General features: G+C 33.8%; 1 protein-coding gene across 11 annotated transcripts in view; it reads left to right on the top strand.

The window, feature by feature from the left end:
- Positions 1-22,515, top strand: part of ERBB4 (erb-b2 receptor tyrosine kinase 4) — a 1,163,086-nt gene that overhangs the window by 895,383 nt on the left and 245,188 nt on the right. For all 11 annotated transcript variants that reach the window (NM_001042599.2, NM_005235.3, NM_001439006.1 and 8 more), the window contains 2 exons: positions 12,826-12,958; positions 19,376-19,498. In NM_001042599.2, the coding sequence (NP_001036064.1) occupies positions 12,826-12,958; positions 19,376-19,498 (256 nt within the window). The remainder of the gene's footprint in view (positions 1-12,825; positions 12,959-19,375; positions 19,499-22,515) is intronic.

Raw genomic sequence — 22,515 nt, 5'->3', positions numbered from 1 at the left:
AGTCTAGAAATGGCATAGCTGTTGCCATGGGTTTCATGGATCAGTAACAACAGGACCAGAACGTATATCATTTTATTATCTTTCTGTTTTGATAGTACACTGAGTGCCACAGCTCTAAGCATTAGATCCAAGGACAGAAGTAGAGGGATAGGCTTCATCAGCTCTACCTGTTCTTTTCCAGAATTCCCTATGGTCAACCTTTGCTTTCATTTCATTGGCAAGAATTTTGTTGTATGTTTACACCAAGATGCAGAGAGACTGAGGAAGTTGTTACTTAACGTTTTAAAAATCACTAGTGTGTTAGGGGTAATGGAGTAGGAACAACTGTTGCTTCAGTCAGCCTGGGACTTGGACGCAGTGTGGTGAGGGTGAGGGATAAACTAAACTAAAACCAGCAAAGAAAAATAACTTGTCTCAGGATTAGTTTCACTGCTTTTAGGAGAAAATATTATTTTACCAATTACTACGAAAGCTGGAATAAGCAAATGTTAAACACGTATCAGCTTCATTTCAGAGAAGCCTTACATAAATAACTCTTCTCATTTTCTTTCCATTAAAGATATTTTAGAATTATGCTTTTGTTAAGTTTAAAAACATATAGGGAGCTCTGAGATTGTTGTTGGATATATGTGCTTTCAAGGGTTGATTTAAGATAAAAAGTTTGTAAGTATTTATGGAAGTAAACTTTCATCCAGTTATTTCTTCATGTAACAGCTATTTAGTACTTCTTTTCATGAGACAATAAACTAGACTCTAAAACATATGAAAGTGTTTGTGGCAAAATTCTAGCACTTAAAGGACTTATGTTTGAGCTTATAAAAATAGAAATTCTTTTATTTTACCTTTAATCTCTGAATATGCTTGCTTATCATTACATAGATAAAGAGATGGATGGTACATCCTGTCTAGGGCATAAGTAGGAAAGTAAAGAAATCCAATGATTGAGTCCTGAGGCTTTCCTATATTTAGAGGTCAGGGTAACACGGAGCAAATAGCAGAAAATGAGTGAAAAGGACTGACCAGACAGGGAAGAAACTAGGGAAAGGATGGCTTTCAAGGGAGGACAGTGTTTCAAGAAAAGGGAACTGATCATTTATATGAAAATCTACCACCAGGTTGATTAAGATTAGCTCTAAGAAATTACTTTTTGATTTGGCAGCAAGAAAACCATTGGATGACCTTGATAAGAACCGATTTAGTGAAGAGACAGAGACTAAAAATGTGATGAGAGTTAATTCAAGAATTAAGAGAATGGAAATAAAATGATCAGTTTTAGACAAACTGTTTAAGAGATAAATGCAAAGAAAATATTCTGCTTTTTCCAAAATTGTTCCAAATACTAAAGAGTCACATCAAGTGGAAGAATTGCATTTTTAAGAACTCATTATTACTTAAAATATCCCACTTAACTATTTCATTCACTTTATAATAATTATTGATAAACTTCTTAGACAATGTTATTAGAGTGATAAAACAAAAAAAAAAATTAGAAATGATGGTCCTAACCTCATGGGGCTTATAATTTACTTTGAAATAGAAAAGAATCCAAGAAAGCATAATTATAAATACCTAAATCAAGTTTGGTCTAGTAGTGTCTAAGACACATAAGTACTAAAAACAAATATTCTTGAAACCACGATAGCAAAATGGAATGAATTGAGGTCAGTCACAGAGATGACAATAAAATTGAAGCCACTTATTAGTACTTACAGCTTTGCATCTGGAACATAAGGTTTCTTCTATAAAAACTACCAAATTATAAAAGAATATGAAGGGGACTCTTTTGGAGTATCTATGTTTAATTGTCTTTTTCAATTAAATAATTTTCTTTAAGCTTTAATATTTAATGTCAAATTTTAAATTCTCCAAATGGGGGATGGCATTAAGGCACAAGAATTAGCAATGAGATCTATGTAGCCTTACTAAGGCATCTGGCTCTAGCATGTGTTACCCAAGGCAAATAGCACTATGAACAGGTTTTTTAAATGTATTAAATATTTTTAAGGTTTGTTCCTCTTGCAAATGATGATCTCAAAAGGTCAGTAAAAAGATAAGAACAAAAACAGATTGGAACAGTAGAATTTATCTTGATGAGATAAGTGAAACCGCATAAAATGATATAGTCTATCAGCAAAACAAAAGGGACAGGGAGAGGAAGTAGAAAAGAAATAAAGCCCCTTTAGCCACATTTTTCTTCCTTTGCATTTTGAATGTTCCTAGAGAATAAATAAAGTACTAGAAAAACTTAAAGGGAATGGAATGGAATGTTGTCTGTGACTCACTTTAATTAAAAATGTGAAGCTATTAATAAAATCAACAGGTATGGGTCTTGAAATTACAAGAATAACAAATATGTAAAGAAATTGTAAAAGTTGAATGAAATGATATAGATTTTGGATACCCTTTAGCACTTCAAATCCATAGATCAAAAAGAACTAAAAACTTCTCCCTTCTAATTGTCTGTCTGCTGATTTCTGCACGTCCCTTTAAGGCATCATCGGCCTTATTATATTCCCATAGGCATGGGAGTCTAGTCACTTTTGATGCCTGCTTTTTCTCCACTGTTGAGGTTATACTTTTTATCAGTTTTGCTGCTGTTAATACATTTTCTCACCATATCTCCTTTTAAACTTTCCTAATCTGTCTTTCACTATTACTCATGAGGACTTTTAAAACAGTCAGCTAAACTAATTTTCTTGCATATCTTTTCTTTTTCCTGCTTATCTATCTTACAACTTTCTACCAGAATAATTTTCCTAATATAACCGCATAATTATATTTTAATGGAAAAAGGATTTAGAGAAAAATATACTAAGAGTCTAGGCTTGACTATCCAGTTAGAATGCTTCGGACCTTGGACAAGTTGTATAACCTACTTCAGATTCACCATACATCAATAATCAATTATATTGGAAGAGTTATTTGACATAACACATATAAAATATCTAGGAAAAGGAGCTTTGTTCATTAATCCTGCAAGAAATGTCCAGTGACTCTAGATAGATGTCCAAAAATCCTGGTATTTTTCCCACAACTGTATTCACTTCTTAAAGTCTTTTCCCATCTCACTTCATTCAAATCTTCAGTAGGCTGCAAGGCCACCAACTCCCCGATGAACACTTGTAGGTCTCCGCAGCAGGAAAAAGGGCTACCAGCAGGCCAATGTAAGTAGAAAATACATCATCTGAATAAAGAGTAGTGATACTTCCCAAGAAAGATACTTCCTTAATCCCTCTTTGTTAGCATTTTATTTTTAAAAAAATCTTCTTTCAGTATAAAACAAGGATTGGGGAATCTAAAGTATAGTTAAAAAAAAATCAAAAATGCTTTATATACAGAATTGACTATCAAGGAAACAAACAAACAAACCAGGCTATTACTTTAAAAATGTTTTCAAGGCTAGACTTGGTGGCTCACAGCTATAATCCCAGCACTTTGGAAGGCCGAGGCGGGCAGATCACCTGAGGTCAGGAGTTCGAGACCAGCCTGGCCAACATGGTGAAACCCTGTCTCTACTAAAAATACAAACATTAGCTGGGCATGGTGGGGGGGTGCCTGTAATCTCAGCTATTTGGGAGGCTAAGTCAGGAGAGTCGCTTGAACTCCGGAGGTGGAGGTTGCAGTGAGCCAAGATGGCGCCACTGTACTCCTGCCTGGGGAACAGAGTAAGACTCCTTCTCAAAAAAAAAGTTTGCAAACCCTCTGAAAATGAGATTGCTCTGTATCTGTCTTATGTAGTTGTGTACAATAAGCATGACAGAAATGTGTATGCTTAATGCTTCGATAGATAAAGGTAGGTGCAATTTATACATAGAATATATTCTCTGTTAACAACTAATTATCTGAAATTATAGTGCATAGAATGAATGGAGATTTTAAGGCGAAGAAAACTTTTTAAATATGGGAACAAGAATGGTGCCAGCCATGATTTATCCCTCTCCCACTTTTCTTCACAGAGCAGTGTTTATGTAATACTTTCTGCTCTATTATGAAACTTAAATTACTTAGCATGCTGAACAATTTTGGTACCTAATGTAACTGAAGTTGTAAGAACTGAATCCTGGACATTTAAATCTTTTGCTCTATTGCTTCATATTACCTTGTCCATATAATGAATAAGTAATAGGACATAGTGATACTTAACGGTTAATTTGTTCTGTAATTAAATATTTACAATATTCTGTTTGTGTCACAAAACATGTCCTTATATATATTCTATCTAGATAACAGTATATAAACAATAATAAAGTTACTGTATTAGTATGGTATATAGATATATGATATTGTATAATAGGTATAAACTGTGGAAGAATTAATAAAAGCACCAAAACTTCATCTGACCTCTTAAAAACCCTGTTAAAAGGAAAGTTCTTCCTGGCGTAATTCGTTTTCAACACTTTAGTTGTAGAAAATCCTGGGTGTAGAAATTCCTAGATAGATTATATATATTCTGAGGATGGTGTCCTTAACATGAGAATGTTTGCCAGAAAGTCAAGTGTATAAGTTTATGTACTTCCCCAAAATTTGATAAAACAAACAAAAGCCCATAGATATGTGTAAATGTTGCCTGTAAAGAGAAGGAAGGTTTGCTCTGAAACTACTTGAAATTTTTTCTCAGAAGCTGATCTAGATATAAAAGGATCAGATTATATTTACATATTCATTTAATGGCAATATCTCTACTGAAGTACTTTTGCAACACTGTGTTATCGAATGAAATGTTGCATTCACATATTGAAAAAAAGATTGATTTTAACACATAAAGCCGAGTCAAAAAACATTCAAATTTGCTTAGGAAGGGGGACAGTACGTTCTGATTCATTAGCTTCAGCACTTACAGTTTTGGTCATATTTGAAATGTAATAGAGGAATCTTGAGCCTTAATCAAAGGACAGAGACCTATTGTAATACCCCAGGTCTCGTCAACCAAAAACTGTAAGATCACTTTCATTTGCTCAAAAAGAAAAGATGTGTCATGTTTATAAAGCAGGTTGAATTCTGGGTCAGAATAAGCACTACTTGTAGGAGAAAAAGAACTCCCTTAATGTAGCTCTCCTTGCCCCAGGCAGTAACCCTTAAAATGTCTTCTGGGGAATTTCAATGTTTCCTGGTGTTTCAAGGTCTCTTGTTTCAAATCTGAACTGTTTTGGGGAAGGCTGAACAGAGTAGCAGTACAATAGGTACTGTCACTGTAATAATAGATACTGCTCGTCTTTACCTTTCTTAAAGGAAATCCCATATAAGTTAAAAAAAAAAGAAAACCATTTTAACTGTTTTCTCACTTTGAAAACAAAATGAAGCTAAAAGAAGAAGAATGTCACTTATAAACTTTACACCCAAGGATATAAAGGATTTAATAAAAGTAAATCACAATGAATATAGCAATACAGATAAAATGATAGTCGAAAGAGAAGTAAAATATTAAGATATAACTAAATATAAAAGTTCTATGAAAACCCCTAAATAAATTTATGTGCATTTTGTATTCTCTACTATCAAGCATAGATATTGAAGCAAAACCTGAATAATGATATTTGTGTAAATATATCATCTTTAGAAAGAGAAAAAATACAATAGGTGAAAGTTTAATGGACTTGAGACTCCAATACATAAAATGTTAGCATTACTATTTATATTTGATGTTATCCAGGCATCTTTTCTATTTTCTTGTATTTAATATGGAGTTTACAAGATATGTGTTACATCGTTATTGTGAAACTATACAATGTATGTAAAAGTTAAATTCTAATTATAAAATATACAAGTATTGGAAATTATTAGAATGGAAAGTTCACATTCAGTGGAGCTAAATGATTTAAATTTAAAAGTAGTATATAGGATCAAAAAAGCCTTTGGTTTACCTCTATGAAAGGGAATGATTTCTAAGAAAATATGACATTTTCATTTTTATTAGATTATTTCCCATTGAAAATAAGTGCATTGCTAGTGACACCCTGTGTGCTATAAAACCTGTGAGAATCTGATGGCTGTCAAATCTTGTCTTTCTCTTATGGAAACAGACCTTTTGCTATGTTTAAATTATATACATAATTAAGAAAATATTGAAAACGTTATTGTTTTCAAAGCTATATTCCTTGCCTCAGTTGGTAATTGTGAATGAATTATAAGAATTTGATTTTAATAGAGAGTCAATAGGTTTTTGATCAACTACATTTTTCTTACAGCAAGAACACTTTACAAAACAGAATATACCCCTGAGCATACATTTGTCCTCTGGGTCATGATAGACTTATGCTTTCATCTGTAGCCACTGTAAGATTTTCAGAAGAAAGATAGGATATAGGATGATGGCCAATGTTACCTAATTATATTTTTAAAATGAAATATAACTTTATAGAGAATTGTAACATTTGACCCTAGTTTGTGAAATATACATTTAAGTTACATATACATTCATAAAATGCAGTAATTAATTTACTTTCCCAGAAAGTAAAACTTGCTGAAAATAAAACTAAGACACTTTCGTGTGAATGTGTATATATGCACACACCTACACATACTCATGGGTTTTATAGCACAACAGAGTGTCATTAGCAATGCATTTATTTTTGATGGGAAATAATCTACTAAAAATGAAGATGTCAGATTTCATAGAATTATTCCCTTTCATAGAGGTAAACTGAAGTTTTTTCGATCCTATATACACATACACACATACCCCAACATACACATTTTAATATAGAGATATAGATAAATACTTATTAACTCTGGGTATCCTAAATTCCTTTAGATTGGGCTAAATGTAGGATAAACATTTGATTTATTGCTCACATAGAGGCACTTTGGAGAGTAAAAGTGGCATTATTGATTATTAGACTGGCATAAACTAAGACCGTCCTGGCCAAAATGGGATGAATAATTCCTAAACTTCAAGGTGTTTGATTTAATGATAATGCTAGAAATGATCTTGAAGCAAATTCATTAGATACTATGAATGTAAACATGACTATATAATTTCCTTCTGCATTTATTTTTTGTACTAGCTTAGGTAAAGAATGTATTTGTGTATATTTAAGCTATTTGATAGAGGCAGTAAACTCACAATTGGTTAGAAGTAGACATATGATTAAAACTTAGATTTGCCTGGCTCCAAAGCATCTTTCTGCCACAATAAGGAAAAGTCATACAGAATTTGAAAGATTAACACAAAGTAGTAATGTTGGAGATACTGTTTTACCATGTTTTGCAATTTGCAAAGTTTATTTTACAAAAAAAAATCCCTGTTAAATTTATCTGACTAGCCTGTCTTTGTTTGTTTTTCCTTCTTATATACTTTTTTTTTAAAAAAACACACACACGCATTTTCAGTTTAACATTTAGTGCCCATAGATAAGCAAGTGAAGCAGGTCTACATCTGATGCAACAAATCCTGAAGACCTTTCTTCAAATTATTTAGTTTAATCTAAAAGCTTCTAAAAGTGAAAGTCTTTGATTCATAGTCAATACTATGAATTGCAAGTATACCATCAGTGTTTTATAGGACTACAGGTTGTTTTATCTTTAGTTGAAAATTATTCTGTATTCAAAAAAGTAAAGAAAATACACATATATTCAAAATTTAATAAACCTTTTATTTGGTGACGAACTTACCTTTAAAAAAAGGTAGAATCATAGAATTAACATTTATTGCAATATGCATCAAAATACCAGTTTCGCCAATTAAGAAAATACTATTGTTCCTTTTTAAAAGATAGCCAGTCCTTATAACATTAAATAGAAAGAGTATAACAAAATAGTTTTTTAAAACATTTGAGTTTTAATCATGAATTATATTGACTTTATTACATTTTTTTTGTGGTCTGACATCTGAAAAGAAACTGATCAATGGGAGAAAATATCCGGATGTTTTTAAAACTAAGGTTTCATGTGTCCTCTCACATTTTATATTCTGCATGAGAGAAATAGCATGGTCCAAATATAGTAATTAAGAATATACATATTTTAGATGAGTAATATAGCTTGGAAAGATGCTGCTCTTTTATAAAACAATTGCATTCAAGTCAGTAGAATTTAATCCATTTCATTGTCTCTGAATTTCTAAATGAAATTATGAAAACCAAATCATTTGCTTTTAAATAAATTAGCAAAATTCGTTTGTGATTCAGAATCCCTGTGAGATTAGTTTCTTCAGTAGTGGGAGGATATCAGTTTCATAATACTATTTCCAAGTCACAGAATAAGGTAAACTATCAATTGATCGTATCCTTTTAGTCTAAGCTTGGACTTGATCTTAGAAATTTATACTTTAGGGGGTCTCAACCATTTTTAATGGACAGCCAAAAGACAAGACAAAAAAATTGCAATACTCCTGTTAAAGATAAGGAATCAGAGTATTCTAGATCCCTTAGTATTTGAACCTTGTGATCTCATAGTGTCAACTGAGCCTCTTATCGCTTCCGCTGATTCACATACAAGATTCACATTCAAGGCCTGGAGTGGTGGCTCATGCCTGTAATCCCAGCACTTTTGGAGGCCAAGGCGGGCAGATCACATGAGGTGAGGAGACCAGACTGGCCAACATGGTGAAACCCCATCTCTACTAAAATTACAAAAATTAATTGGGCATGGTGGCAGTCACCTGTAATCCCAGCTCCTCCAGAAGCTGAGGCAGGAGAATCACTTGAACCTGGGAGGTGGAGGTTGCTGTGAGCCAAGATCACACCACTGCACTCCAGCCTGGGCAACAACAGAGCAAGACTCCATCTAAAAAATAAAAATAAAATAAATCACATTCACGCTCAGAAACAGGTTGGTTGGTAATAGCCATTATCATCATTAGACCAAGGAGAGATGCACAGCCATTTAAAGAAGTAACTTAGGTTGCTATTTCCTCTCTACCCAAAGGGTCCTCATAAAAGGAGCTAAGCATAAATTCTCAGGAAAAAAACAAACAAGAAAAAGATATCTATCCTATACTTACAAACATCTAGGAATCATAAAAATTCAGAGGAGTAAGAAATGTGAAAATAGTATTAACTTTTCAGATTATCTTGGTTTATGGTACATAATGTTAACTGTAAGAAACATAATAGTAATCAAATGTCTCAGACATATCAAACTATAATGAATAGAAAATATACACAAAAGTACTTAGATTGTAAAAGTGGACAGGGAATAACAAAATGAAATCTTAATTGAAAAAAAAGCAAAGTAAACATTCAAGAAAAAGAGAACAAGGCCATTATTACAAAGCTAAACTTTTAGACAATGATTTTTTCTTCTGCATTTTTCTTGAATTTAATAAACTTTTATTTCAAAAGGAATATAAATGGATCATAAAAAATTAGAAAATACTCATTGCAACCTTCACTTCCTGGGTTCAGGCGATTCTCCTGCCTCGGCCTCTGGAGTGGCTGGATTTACAGGTGCATGCCACCACGCCCAGCTGATTTTTGTATTTTTAGTAGAGATGGGGTTTCGCCATGTTGGCCAGGCTGGTCTAGAACTCCTGACTTCAGGCAATCCACCTGCCTTGGCCTCCCAAGGTGTGGGGATTACAGGCGTGAGCCACTGGCCCGGCCTCAAGTTTCTTGCATATTCTGGATATTTGACCTTTGTTAGATGTATAGTTTGCAAATATTTTCTACTAACATCAAAATCTTTCTTTTGCTTAGGTAGTTTGGCCTGGAATATAGAGGTTCCTATATGTCTATCTTTTAATATTGTTTAAGATAATTTTAATACCTAATCACATCTTCCCTTTGGAGTTTTAAAGTGAATGTCAAAATTATAAGAGCAGATTGTGATTAATTAATACATTACCTCAAGAAGAAAAAACTAGTGAGAACACACAACTTATATAAAAACATTATCTTTAAAAGACATTGGAAATTGTATTTCCTGTTTACTTTGTGTTCTTGTTTAAATGTCAAAGAGAGAAAAACCCTAGTGAATTTAAAAAAAAAAAAAAAAAAAATTAGAAAATACAAATTAGTAAAAATAAGAGCACTGTATTCACACTACCCAGAGACAACTACTATTTAGTATATTATTTTATATTATTCCAGATCTATGCATCTGAGGATATATTTGTAGACATATATGAATATGTATTTTTTCATATTGAAGTTCTACTGTTTGGAAACCGAATCTTTTCAGTTTGTGGTGCACGTCTTTGTGTTGCAGCAAATTATCTTCTCATCTACTATATAATTTATATTTAGATCTTTCAAGTTTTCCAAAAAGACTCTATAACTGGTTTGTCCAAACTAGGATCTAATGCAGGAGTACATTTTATATCCAGTTGCTATGTCTATTAAGTCTTCTTAAGCTACATCAGCACCTTTTTCATGATACTCAATTAATAAAAAGAAACTGCAAGTTGTCTTATGGAATATTCCCTCCTCTTGATTTTACTGGTTGCTTGTTTGTGGTTAATGATTTATGTTTCAAACGTAAATTCTGTGGGAATAGGCAGAATTTGGCCTCTTATAATGTTCAATAAAACACTTATATATGATTTTTAAGTACAGAAATTTTAGTTCTTTATTCCTTCAGGTTGTTTGTACCTCTACCGTTCCTGCAGAGTGGTAAGAAAACAGTAAAGAAATTCAAGTAGACCAAAAATATTGCTGTGAGAAAATACTGAAAGTAAATTCTAACTATAAAACCAGAAATTACTGTCTTGAGTTTTTGAATGTCTTATTTTGATTACCATTACTTGCCTGTATAGTAATTATATGGCAATCAATCTCCACCAAAATAAGAAAAAAGAGAGGTATTAGTTTCTTCTCCTGGAAGTTTGTTCTTAAAAAATAACAACAACAACAAACAAAGAAACAAACAAAAAACAAAATAGAGCGTTTTCTTTTCATATACAGTGACATTGACGTTTACATATATTTACATAAATATGTATACCACCTATTATTTTGCAAAATAAATAAGCAGAGAAAGTTTAGAGTTTGGTCTGAATCTACAATTAACGAAATGTTGGACATTAGTCTCAATTATACATAAATATTTTGCGATAAAAAATTGGACTGAGAAAACAAAAATATGACCCTTTCAATAACAGTGACTTTTCAGGGATATGTTAAGCATTTGAGCTAAAAATTATACCTTTGGTTGAAACATAAAATATTTCCTGAAATACATATTTAACTTGCATGATCAAAAATATGATCTTACACAAACAAAAACATATCACAATGAAGAATTTTTTTCCATACTATAGTTTAATTTTCTCAGCAGAGATTTTTATATCTTTAGAAAATCCCATTTAGAAAAATCTAGCTGAATTATAGCAACATTTCAGTATACTATAGTACTTTGAGCTGTCAGGAAACAACCTTTAGGATGAACTACCTTTTTAGATTTTTCTGCAGTTTTATATGACAATATAGCAGTCATAATCTCTAAAAGACATGATTTCATTTATAGAAGAAGTTACGCAGATTTTTTTTATGAGCTTTTTAAAATTTCAAGATTTTATTGAGAATCATCCACCATACTATTTCTGATCTATCTCTGAGCAGAAGTTTATTTAGCAAGAGAAAGTATTTTTTAAGAAAATGTAGTATAAGTTCTTTTAAAAATATAAATATAAGATATAAAATGCTTTATTATGGAAAGCATGAGCAGGCAGGAAGTTCTTTTTTAGTTTTGATATCCATTGTGGCTTCCTGGTCAAATATTTTTTAGGTAACACCTGTGTGTTTCACTCAAGATTATTTCCTATGGTATACAAAATTCATATGATTAAGAACTCTGACCACGGAAACTTCAGAGATACTGCTCTACTCTAGAACAAGTTAAAAATCACAACTACTACTGTTTAAGCAAGGAAAAAATTAGCTAAGAAGTGATCAGTTTCAAAATTATATCTTTGCTAACAATACATTACAAAAACATTTTAAGAATGAAGATTTCCAATCAATCTCTTCTTAATCCCTTTTTGGTACTGTTTACCACTTTTTATGTAATGCTTCATGTGCAAACCTCTTTTATGAGTGTATGATGCTGAGACACACTATTGATTCTAATACTCTTGTCATTATTCTGAAAACATGTCTGAACCAATTCTTTATCTTTCTCCTGACCTTTTTTCTACCAGAGTTGCCCTAATCAGAGTTTCAAATAGCACTTTGGGCAATAATAACTCTCTTATTGGTACCCTTATACTCCAGAGGTGTGGGGTTTCTATGTCTTCAGACCACTCATTTTTGCATTAGAGCAGTGCTTCCTAACTGGGGGTGATGTTGACAGATCTTTGGGAATGTCTGGAGACATTGTCATGACTAGAGGATGGGGGTGCTACTGGCATCTCAGGGATGGAAGCCAGGAATGCTACTAAACATCCTAAAATGCACAGGACACTTCGCGACAACAAACTGGTATTCAGCCTCAAATGTCAATAGTGCCACTGTTGTGAAAGCCTGCTTCAGAGAAATTACTGGAAATAAAATTACAAACCACAACAATATTCTTACAATGCATTTCCTGTTTATTCATATATAATAGAAAAATATTAAATGCGCCAACACCAATGTCTTGGCATATGTTTTTCATACTGCTAGCAAGTTTTACATTTTTTTCATCAAATGGCATGTTGTGACTGTTCATCTCAAAGATTAGTTGTACATGCATGGTTTATTATTTGTTAAACACACAAAAACAACCATAGTTTTTACCATGAGAAAGGTTTTGGTAGAGCAAAACCTAATGCACTTTTATATTTGCATTTCATCTAAATGACTAGATTTGTGAAATGTGGATAATGTCTTGTACAACTGCTCTTTTCTCTTCCTCTGTCTTCTCTCTCTTCATACTTTTTATTTTTTTTTTTCTCATTCTGGTTGTCAGAACTCCCCTGATTGCAGCTGGAGTAATTGGTGGGCTCTTCATTCTGGTCATTGTGGGTCTGACATTTGCTGTTTATGTTAGAAGGAAGAGCATCAAAAAGAAAAGAGCCTTGAGAAGATTCTTGGAAACAGAGGTGAGGTATTTCTTTCTCCTCTTCATGTGTTTGGGGATTTTCATCAGGTTTAGAAGGTTTAGATGATGTTCAATTATTTAATCCAAGTAAAATTCTGTTCAGTGTCCTAATTAAGTTTTTTATTTTATAGTCCGTTAAACAAAGCTTGTGAAAAATCAGATTATGTTGTAAAAATAGTCAAGGCTTCAAGGGGGTAGATGGGAGTGGTCAAGAAAATTATTGTATTGGGGAAAGTATCTGTATTTTGTTTGTATGGTTGGGAGGATCCCATTAGCAAGCTCTGGATAGAGGATATCTCAATAGCAGCAGATCTAGAAAATATCTGCATTGAAAATATCTCATTCTGTAGGTTGCCTGTTCACTCTGTTGGTAGTTTCTTTTGCTGTGCAGAAGCTCTTTAGTTTAATTAGATCCCATTTGTCAATTTTGGCTTTGGTTGCCATTGCTTTTGGTGTTTTAGACATGAAGTCCTTGCCCATGCCTATGTCCTGAATGGTATTGCCTAAGTTTTCTTCTAGGTTTTTTATGGTTTTAGGTCTAACATTTAAATCTTTAATCCATCTTGAATTAATTTTTGTATAAGGTGTAAGGAAGGCATCCAGTTTCAGATTTCTACATATGGCTAGCCAGTTTTCCCAGCACCATTTATTAAATAGGGAATCCTTTCCCCATTTCTTGTTTTTGTCAGGTTTGTCAAAGATCAAATAGTTGTAGATAGGCGGCATTATTTCTGAGGGCTCTGTTCTGTTCCATTGGTCTATATCTCTGTTTTGGTACCAGTACCATGCTGTTTGGGTTACCGCAGCCTTGTAGTGTAGTTTGAAGTCAGGTAGCGTGATGCCTCCAGCTTTGTTCTTTTAGCTTAGGATTGACTTGGCAATGCGGGCTCTTTTTTGGTTCCATATGAATTTTAAAGTAGTTTTTTCCAATTCTGTGAAGAAAGTCATTGGTAGCTTGATGGGGATGGCATTGAATCTATAAATTACCTTGGGCAGGATGGCCATTTTCACGATATTGATTCTTCCTACCCATGAGCATGGAATGTTCTTCCATTTGTTTGTGTCCTCTTTTATTTCATTGAGCAGTGGTTTGTAGATCTCCTTGAAGAGGTCCTTCACGTCCCTTGTAAGTTGGATTCCTAGGTATTTTATTCTCTTTGAAGCAATTGTGAATGGGAGTTCCCTCATGATTTGGCTCTCTGTTTGTCTGTTATTGGTGTATAAGAATGCTTGTGATTTTTGCACATTGATTTTGTATCCTGAGACTTTGCTGAAGTTGCCTATCAGCTGAAGGAGATTTGGGGGCTGATATGATTGGGTTTTCTAGATATACAGTCATGTCATCTAAAAACAGGGACAAAATTTTTACAATCTACTCATCTGACAAAGGGCTAATATCCAGAATCTAAAATGAACTCAAACAAATTTAGAAGAAAAAAAACAAACAACCCCATCAAAAAGTGTGCAAAGTATATGAACAGACATTTCTCAAAAGAAGACATTCATGCAGCCAAAAGACACATGAAAAAATGCTCATCATCACTGGCCATCAGAGAAATGCAAATCAAAACCACAATGAGATACCATTTCACACCAGTTAGAATGGCGATCATTAAAAAGTCAGGAAACAACAGGTGCTGGAGAGGATGTGGAGAAATAGGAACACTTTTACACTGTTGGTGGGACTGTAAACTAGTTCAACCATTGTGGAAGTCAGTGTGGTGATTCCTCAGCGATCTGGAACTAGAAATACCATTTGATCCAGCCATCCCATTACTGGGTATATACCCAAAGGATTATAAATCATGCTGCTATAAAGACACATGCACATGTATGTTTATTGCGGCACTATTCACAATAGCAAAGACTTGGAACCAAGCCAAATGTCCAGCAATGATAGACTGGATTAGGAAAATGTGGCACATATACACCATGGAATACTATGCAGCCATAAAAAATGATGAGTTCATGTTCTTTGTAGGGACATGGATGAAGCTGGAAACCATCATTCTCAGCAAACTATCGCAAGGACAATAAAACCAAACACCGCATGTTCTCACTCATAGGTGGGAATTGAACAATGAGAACACATGGACACAGGAAGGGGAACATCACACACCGGGGCCTGTTGTGGGGTGAGGCAAGTGGGGAGGGATAGCATTAGGAGATATACCTAATGTTAAATGATGAGTTAATGGGTGCAGCACACCAACATGGCACATGTATACATATGTAACTAACCTGCACGTTGTGCACATGTGCCCTAAAACTTAAAGTATAATAATTAAAAAAAAAAAAGAATATCTCAGTGGCAGATTTAGAAAAATGTTAGAAAGAGAGAGAGTCTTTCTGTTTCAAAACAAAACTAACAGACAAGGAATGCATGTTTTAATTAGGATCATTAAATTAGTAGTCAATGATCTCATTATACCAGCAGTGAAAGACTAAGCTTACAGGATAAAACTTAGTGTTGTAATCACACAGACCTTACTACACAATTTATGGGATGCATTTAATATTATGCATGGTAGTTATTGTGAGTATGTAAATTACTCATGAATGATTATAATGTCTTTTATATTGCTACACTGAGTTCTCTAGCATAAAAGCAGATAGTGTTCATGGTACAGGATACAGGGAAGAAACAATTACAGAAGACTATGAATTACCAGACCCTTCTCAACTTCCATCTTACCTTTCTCCTGATATACACATCTGTGCCTATCTAAACAATTCACAGTAATTCTGTTCTGAGATAAGCTTATCCAACGTTTGTTGTTTTTCTCATTGTCAGTCTGACAATTTCACTTCTCCTTTGAACACTGACAGGAATGGGAGGAATGGGAATTTTAATTCATTCACACATTTTGCATACCGATAATGAATTAAATTTTAGCTCTTTTTACCCAGAAATCAAATCTAGATAGAAGTATCCTGTGAAAGTTTCTGGAAACTACCTTACAGCTGCTTCTAGGAAAACACTTTCTAGGGAATAAAGTTATCTGCAATTGGAATGAGCTGTCTCATGAATAGACATGTTCAAGCAAAATAAAGGTAGTCAATTACATACATGGGAAAACCTAATAGTGATTCCTACTTTAGCTGGAAGCTTATTGAAGAGCAATTTGATTACTTTCAATCTTGCACATGTGAATGAAAGTTTGGACACAACACATGTGCTTTGTGCTATGTATGTTTGCAGTTTAGCTAGGATGCTGGAGGCAGAGAGAATTCTTCCTCATGGCCAGCTTGAGGCAGTTGGTGAGAGAATTCTGGAAATGAAGTATTGTAAACTACAGTTGGAAAGGAAAGCTTGGAATAGCAGTGTACATTTAGGTGACTGCAGAATGGAAGAGAAATTACCTTAACCACACACAGGGAAGGCTCATTGCCGTGAAAAGAGTTGTGTTGCTTTATCTTGGTTTGTTTTTATAATGCAGTGCTTTATAAGAATGTCCTTCAAACCGTCATTTCCTTACTAAATAAACACACACTTTTTTTTTTTTATTTTTTTTATTTATTTTTATTTTTATTTTTTGAGATGGAGTCTTGCTCTGTCGCTCAGGCTGGAGTGCAGTGGCGCGATCTCGGCTCACTGCAAGCTCCGCCTCCTGGGTTCACGCCGTTCTCCTGTCTCAGCCTCCCGAGTAGTTGGGACTACAGGCGCCCGCCAACACGTCCGGCTCATTTTTTTGTATTTTTAGTAGAGACAGGGTTTCACAGTGTTAGCCAGGATGGTCTCGATCTCCTGACCTCGTGATCCGCCTGCCTCGGCCTCCCAAAGTGCTGGAATTACAGGCGTGAGTCACTGTGCCCGGCCCACTTACTGGTTTTATAAGCAGGTTCTGTTTTTATAGAAAATTATTCTTTAAGACTAAATTATTTTACATTTGGTGGTTAGATAATCGTAGAATCCCTATCTTTTTCTTAGTAAAAGAAAATATGATTTTCTACCACCATCTAAATAAAGGGGGAATTTTTAAGATAGTCAATTTAAATCTTTAAATACTGAAGCTAGAAATCTGCCTCAGAAGTGAACATTTGTTGAATCTTGATATATTGTTTGCATACACTTAAAGATGGTACACGTTCCTCAAATCATTTTGTTCCAGATTGTCTTTTTTATGTTACATGCATAAAACTATAAAACATATTTTTTCCACACATGCTTACTGAGATGCACTGTAAGCTTGATGCTTTGGTAGATGGTGTGATTCAAAAATATATTAATGAGACATGATCTCATCCCTTGAAGAGTAACAGATTTAGTGCTTACAATATGCCAGGCAATGTTCTAGAATTTTCCACATATGTTATCTCATTTCATCCTTTCTCAAGTTTCTAAGGTAATTATTGCTACACCTACTTCACAGATAAGAAATAAAGGTTTAGGAAGGGCAAATTGCTTCCTGTGAGTGGCAACACTGTCATATAAACCTCCAAATTTAAACCCATGTGTCTGTAAAATATATTAAATGATACAGAAACATGTTTTTGTGAAATATATTAAATGATACCCAAGAAAATTAAAGAAGACTGAAAAGCTCAGGTAGAACTGTGAAGTTTTCAAAATATGCAATTATTGCATGGTATATGCCAAGGCATATACACAATGTATATTTTATGTATATCTCACCCAAAATGCTGAAGCCCCCTCCCAGTATTTTGTGTGATTTTATGTAACTTTTGTATATGATTTTTAAAAATGATTCATAAGTTATTCATTATACATATAGCATATGTATCAAAATCTACCCAACAATTCCTGTATGGTTGAGTTGCCTTCAAATGAAGGGAACTCAGTTGAGCAATCATTTTGAAATTTAACAAATAATTTAGTGATTCTTTCTGAGATTTTTAAAATGTGACTTGAATGCAGTTCTATGTTATCAAATTTACATTTATATAACTTAAATTTGAAAATGAAATTGAAGATGAGTTGTCAAACTCACAATTAAAGAAGAGTTTGAAGATAACCTAAGTTTATTGGCAATTTTTTATTACGTTCTTCCTAAAATTCTTGCTATAGCTACATTTACCTTCAATCAAGAATCTTCCACTAATTAAGTAGGCCGTTATTTTCACAGAAGCATGGTAATTCATACCCAAGCTGCAGGGCCACAGTGCACTTAGCTTTGGAGATAGAGATTTTGAATTACTGTGGTGGGTTCAAGACAGTTTGAGTAGTAGTACCCTTTGATTATTATGCTGGAAAAATAAAAGAGACTATTTGTAAAGTTTAGTTCCTTAATTTAACTTTTAAAAGACAAAGAAACTCCTATTTCTTGCACTTGCCCTTTTACTCATACATAGATAAAAACCTAAAATTTTAACATAGGATACAGGCTTTTTGGTACCCAGAGCCTCTCTTAGACATACTTTTTTTTTTTCTCACATATGCCAGTGATTGGCACGCATGCACATACTTGCCCCCTTCTCATTCATTCCCCCTAACTGAATCACAACGCAATGATGACGTCTAAAACTATCAGCCTAATTTTACTACTTTGGCCACACCCAGCCCCCCCTGTGATTATGTAGGTTTCCCACCGTACTCTCACCCTTCTGACCAGTCCCACTCCCTGTTGTATTCTGCTATATTTCTTCCTCCTCCTCCCTCTTGCTGTGCCCAAGCAGCTTTTCACAGTGGCCCTCCCAATACCAACCCATTTTCATTATGTCAAGACTTAGACATCTCAAGACTTGATTTTAAAGTGTACATTCTTTAGGAAGGCAAAACTAGTGAGCCTCACTCCCCAGTAGTTGTTTGATGCCTTGCATTTCATAGCATTCACTTATGATGCAGAATCAAATCATAGAATTTTAGAACTATTGATTTAACAGGTAAACTTGGGCCTTGGTACTTCAAATGTGTTCGAGGATCACCATGGTACCTAGGCATCCCTTAGAGTTCTATGCAAATGCAAACATTTCAGGCCTACTCCAGACTTGCTGAACCGGGACCTATATTTAACAAGAAGTTGAGGTAATTCAGATATACACTAAAGTTTTAACAGCCCTGTCCTAGGGTTTTGGCATTGTGCGTTTTTTTCCCCTCTCCTCTGACACATTTGTCCTGGCTTCCCAGGTATATTTTAAGCTCTAAGAAGGCAGCATTTCCTTCTTTAATGCATCAAATCTCGTAGCCTAGTATGCCTCAAGGTAGGTGCACATTTGTTACTTGTGTTTGCCCTGACAAAGAGCAGGAGAAGAGAAAGGACAGGGTCTGAAAGAATGCATAAATGTGTCAGTGAATGGTGAGTGGTGCATATTACGAAGGTATTGGTTGTCAAGGCAAACCAAGTTGGTGTGTTTTTCTTTGTAAGAAAGAGAACCAAAGAGAGAGAGAGAGAGAGAGACAGAGAGAGAGGACTGACTATCGGACTGAAAGTATAACCTTCTTCTTTCCGCTTTGCAGTTGGTGGAACCATTAACTCCCAGTGGCACAGCACCCAATCAAGCTCAACTTCGTATTTTGAAAGAAACTGAGCTGAAGAGGGTAAAAGTCCTTGGCTCAGGTGCTTTTGGAACGGTTTATAAAGTAAGTAAAAAACAACGCATATCGTTAGTTAAGTTTTGTTTTAGATGTTTAGAAAATAATAGCCAATGGAGTTATTACTTTAGACAACCTAATTTTCTTATAATATTCAGAAAGGAAGACTTTTATAATATTGAGAAGTTGCTGCACAAATGAATTCATTAATTTTTATTGAATGAGCTGGGACGGATACAGTCTTGAGAGAAAAGCAAGAAACTCTGATACAAAGCCAAGTATAGTTTTTTTCTTAATACCTTTCTGAGCCCCGTATGTCATATTCCTTTTGGCAAATTTCTATTTTTATCCAACTATCAAGCCCCAACCCATTTGCCATTACCCCTACACAGTGCTCCATGAACCCCAGACATGCCTGGGCAATATACCATAATCCTTTATTCTTTTTCTCTTCTGCTTTTTTATCCAACGCCTCTCCATCAGGATCCTAGTAGCTGATCTTTTTAGAATCCATTCAAATATGCTGATGTCTTAATAGGTTGGAACTAGCTTCTAAATCATTTTTTGCCTACTTGGTTACATTTATGATTTTGTAAATAATTTCCATGGTTTTGATGTCTTTGTCATCATAAGCAAACTAAAAATGTGACATTATATGCAAAATTGAGGTCAGATAGGAGGAAAAGATGACATCATGTGTTTTCAATAAGAGATATTTCTGGAAAGGAAAAGCTCAAATGATGGCATGTGTATGTTTACTTATTTGCCTTAATTACAGGACCAATTCAGAGGCTAGGCCCAAGATTAATTGTGGTGAAATTTATTTTAATGGTAAATAACAAGATTAAGAAACTCTTCTGGGCAAATGCTGAATTATTCTTGTAATATCCATTACTACAATTCCCAAAAGTTACTTTGGCATTTTATATATATATATATATATATATATATATATATATATATATATATATATATATATTTTTTTTTTTTTTTTTTTTTTTTTTTTTGAGATGGAGTCTCGCTCTGTTGGCCAGGCTGTAGTGCAATGGTGTGATCTCCACTCACTGCAACCTCCTCCTCCCAGGTTCCAGCTATTCTCCTGCCTTAACCTCCCCAGTAGCTGGGATTACAGGCACTCACCACCATGCCTGGCTAATTTTTGTATTTTTAGTACAGATGAGGTTTCACCATGTTGGCCAGGCTGGTCTCGAACTCCTGACAAGTGATCTACCCGCCTTGGCTTCCCAAAGTGCTAGGATTAGAGGCATGAGCCACCATGCCCGGCTGGCATTTAATATATTTCTTAAAGCTATGTGTAAGCCTACATTTTACAAACATATCTGTTAAAGTTAATTGGATCTTAGAAATGTTGCATTTTGAAATATTCATTTTTTTCTATTTAAAACAGAGATTTATTTAACAAAAAATATTAATAATTAGAATATAAACCTTAATTTTTCTCTCCAAGTGCTCCAAAATAATCTAATATCCTTAAAATAAAACTTGTATTCTAAGGTCAAAATGCAGAAGTTTTCTAATCTTTTAGTATGCATATTTTATTCAATTAAATTTGATCTTAATTTGACAAAAATTTGAGTACCTACTTTGCATAGGCACTGTTCTAGGCTGACTTGATGCCTTTTCTCATCTTCAGATTTGTATATGTTCAAAGAAACAAATGTTTCTGTTTCTCAATTTAGATTGTGCTAGAAAAAAACAGACTCAGACTGTATCATTTTATATCCTTAAAGTTTGTATCTATTTACTGCAATTGTATTTACATCTTTAATAATTTTAATCTGTACTCATTTCTACAATAAAATATCAACGAATTATGTGGATAATAAATGTAGAGTCCTAAATTGCAGTCTTGATTATTTAAATTGACAAATTGAAAGTACTGCTGTGAATTTGATCCATACTGACAATCATTCTGGATCACTTAGCTATGCCATAAATTCCCATTCTAATGATTGATTGCAGGATTTTTCCCCACCTGAATTATCTAGTAAATGCTACAAATCTCCGTATTCACAGATGTAACTGAAGGCTTCTGTGCTGAACCATAGGACAAGTCAGTAGAAAAATATTAGGGCTTCCTGCCTGTTACCAATTCTGCATGTGACATTGACAAAATTTAAAGCAAGTAGGCAAATTTATGTGTTTATGAAGAACAGAAATAGGGAGAAAAAAAGAGATAAATGGAAAAATTTAAATGTATTATAACGTACTTCCATTTTTAAGATAACTCAATCTTACATTGTTCCTAGAGTATAATCACTCCTATATTTTTAAAGATAATGTGGTCTGTAAATTAAATTTTATTTTAAACCTTGGATACCCTATAACTCAAGACTAAACACTATCTAATGTCCTCAGCAGAGAAAAATGTTACCCATTTAAGCATTTAATAATAAAGCTTTATTAACTTGTATTAAGAGCATTTATTTGTCTATTGTGCATGAGTGTTTTACCCTAATTGAAATTACTTGTAATGAAAGTGTCTATGGTTGACTCTAAGTTTTAATCAATAGATCAGTTGTTATGAAGACATACTGTCTTAAACTATAAAGGATTATTCTTGACCATAGAAGTGCAAATTGGCTTAACCAATTATTTGATTATTTTTTTCTCCTAATTAGAAATATTCTCTGTTTAAGTATAAAGATTAGGACCAATATCATGTGTATCAGATAGTAAAATTTTTAACTAGTCAGTCCCAGAAAATAGTGAAATAATGAATGAAATAATGAAAAAAAAAGAATAATTTAATAAATATTTATTTTAAAAAGAAGTATAAAATACTTTACATTGAATTTATATTCTTATTTAATTTTATTTATGTATTTATTCTTGAGACAGGGTCTTGCTCTGTAGGCCAGGGTGGAGGGCAGTGGTTTAATCACAGTTCACCGTAGCCTCAACCTCCTGGGCTCAAACCATCCTCCCACCTCAGCCTCCTGAGTAGCTGGGACCACAGGCATGTGCCAGCACACTCAGCTCATTTTTAAATTTTTTTATTTTTTAGTAGAGTTGGAATGTCTCTATGTTGCCTATGCTGGTCT

This window comes from Homo sapiens, chromosome 2 (assembly GCF_000001405.40).
Source record: "Homo sapiens chromosome 2, GRCh38.p14 Primary Assembly".
Taxonomy (NCBI): domain Eukaryota; kingdom Metazoa; phylum Chordata; class Mammalia; order Primates; family Hominidae; genus Homo; species Homo sapiens.
Note: the sequence above shows the minus strand (reverse complement) of the source record. Positions and strands in the feature narration are given on the sequence as shown.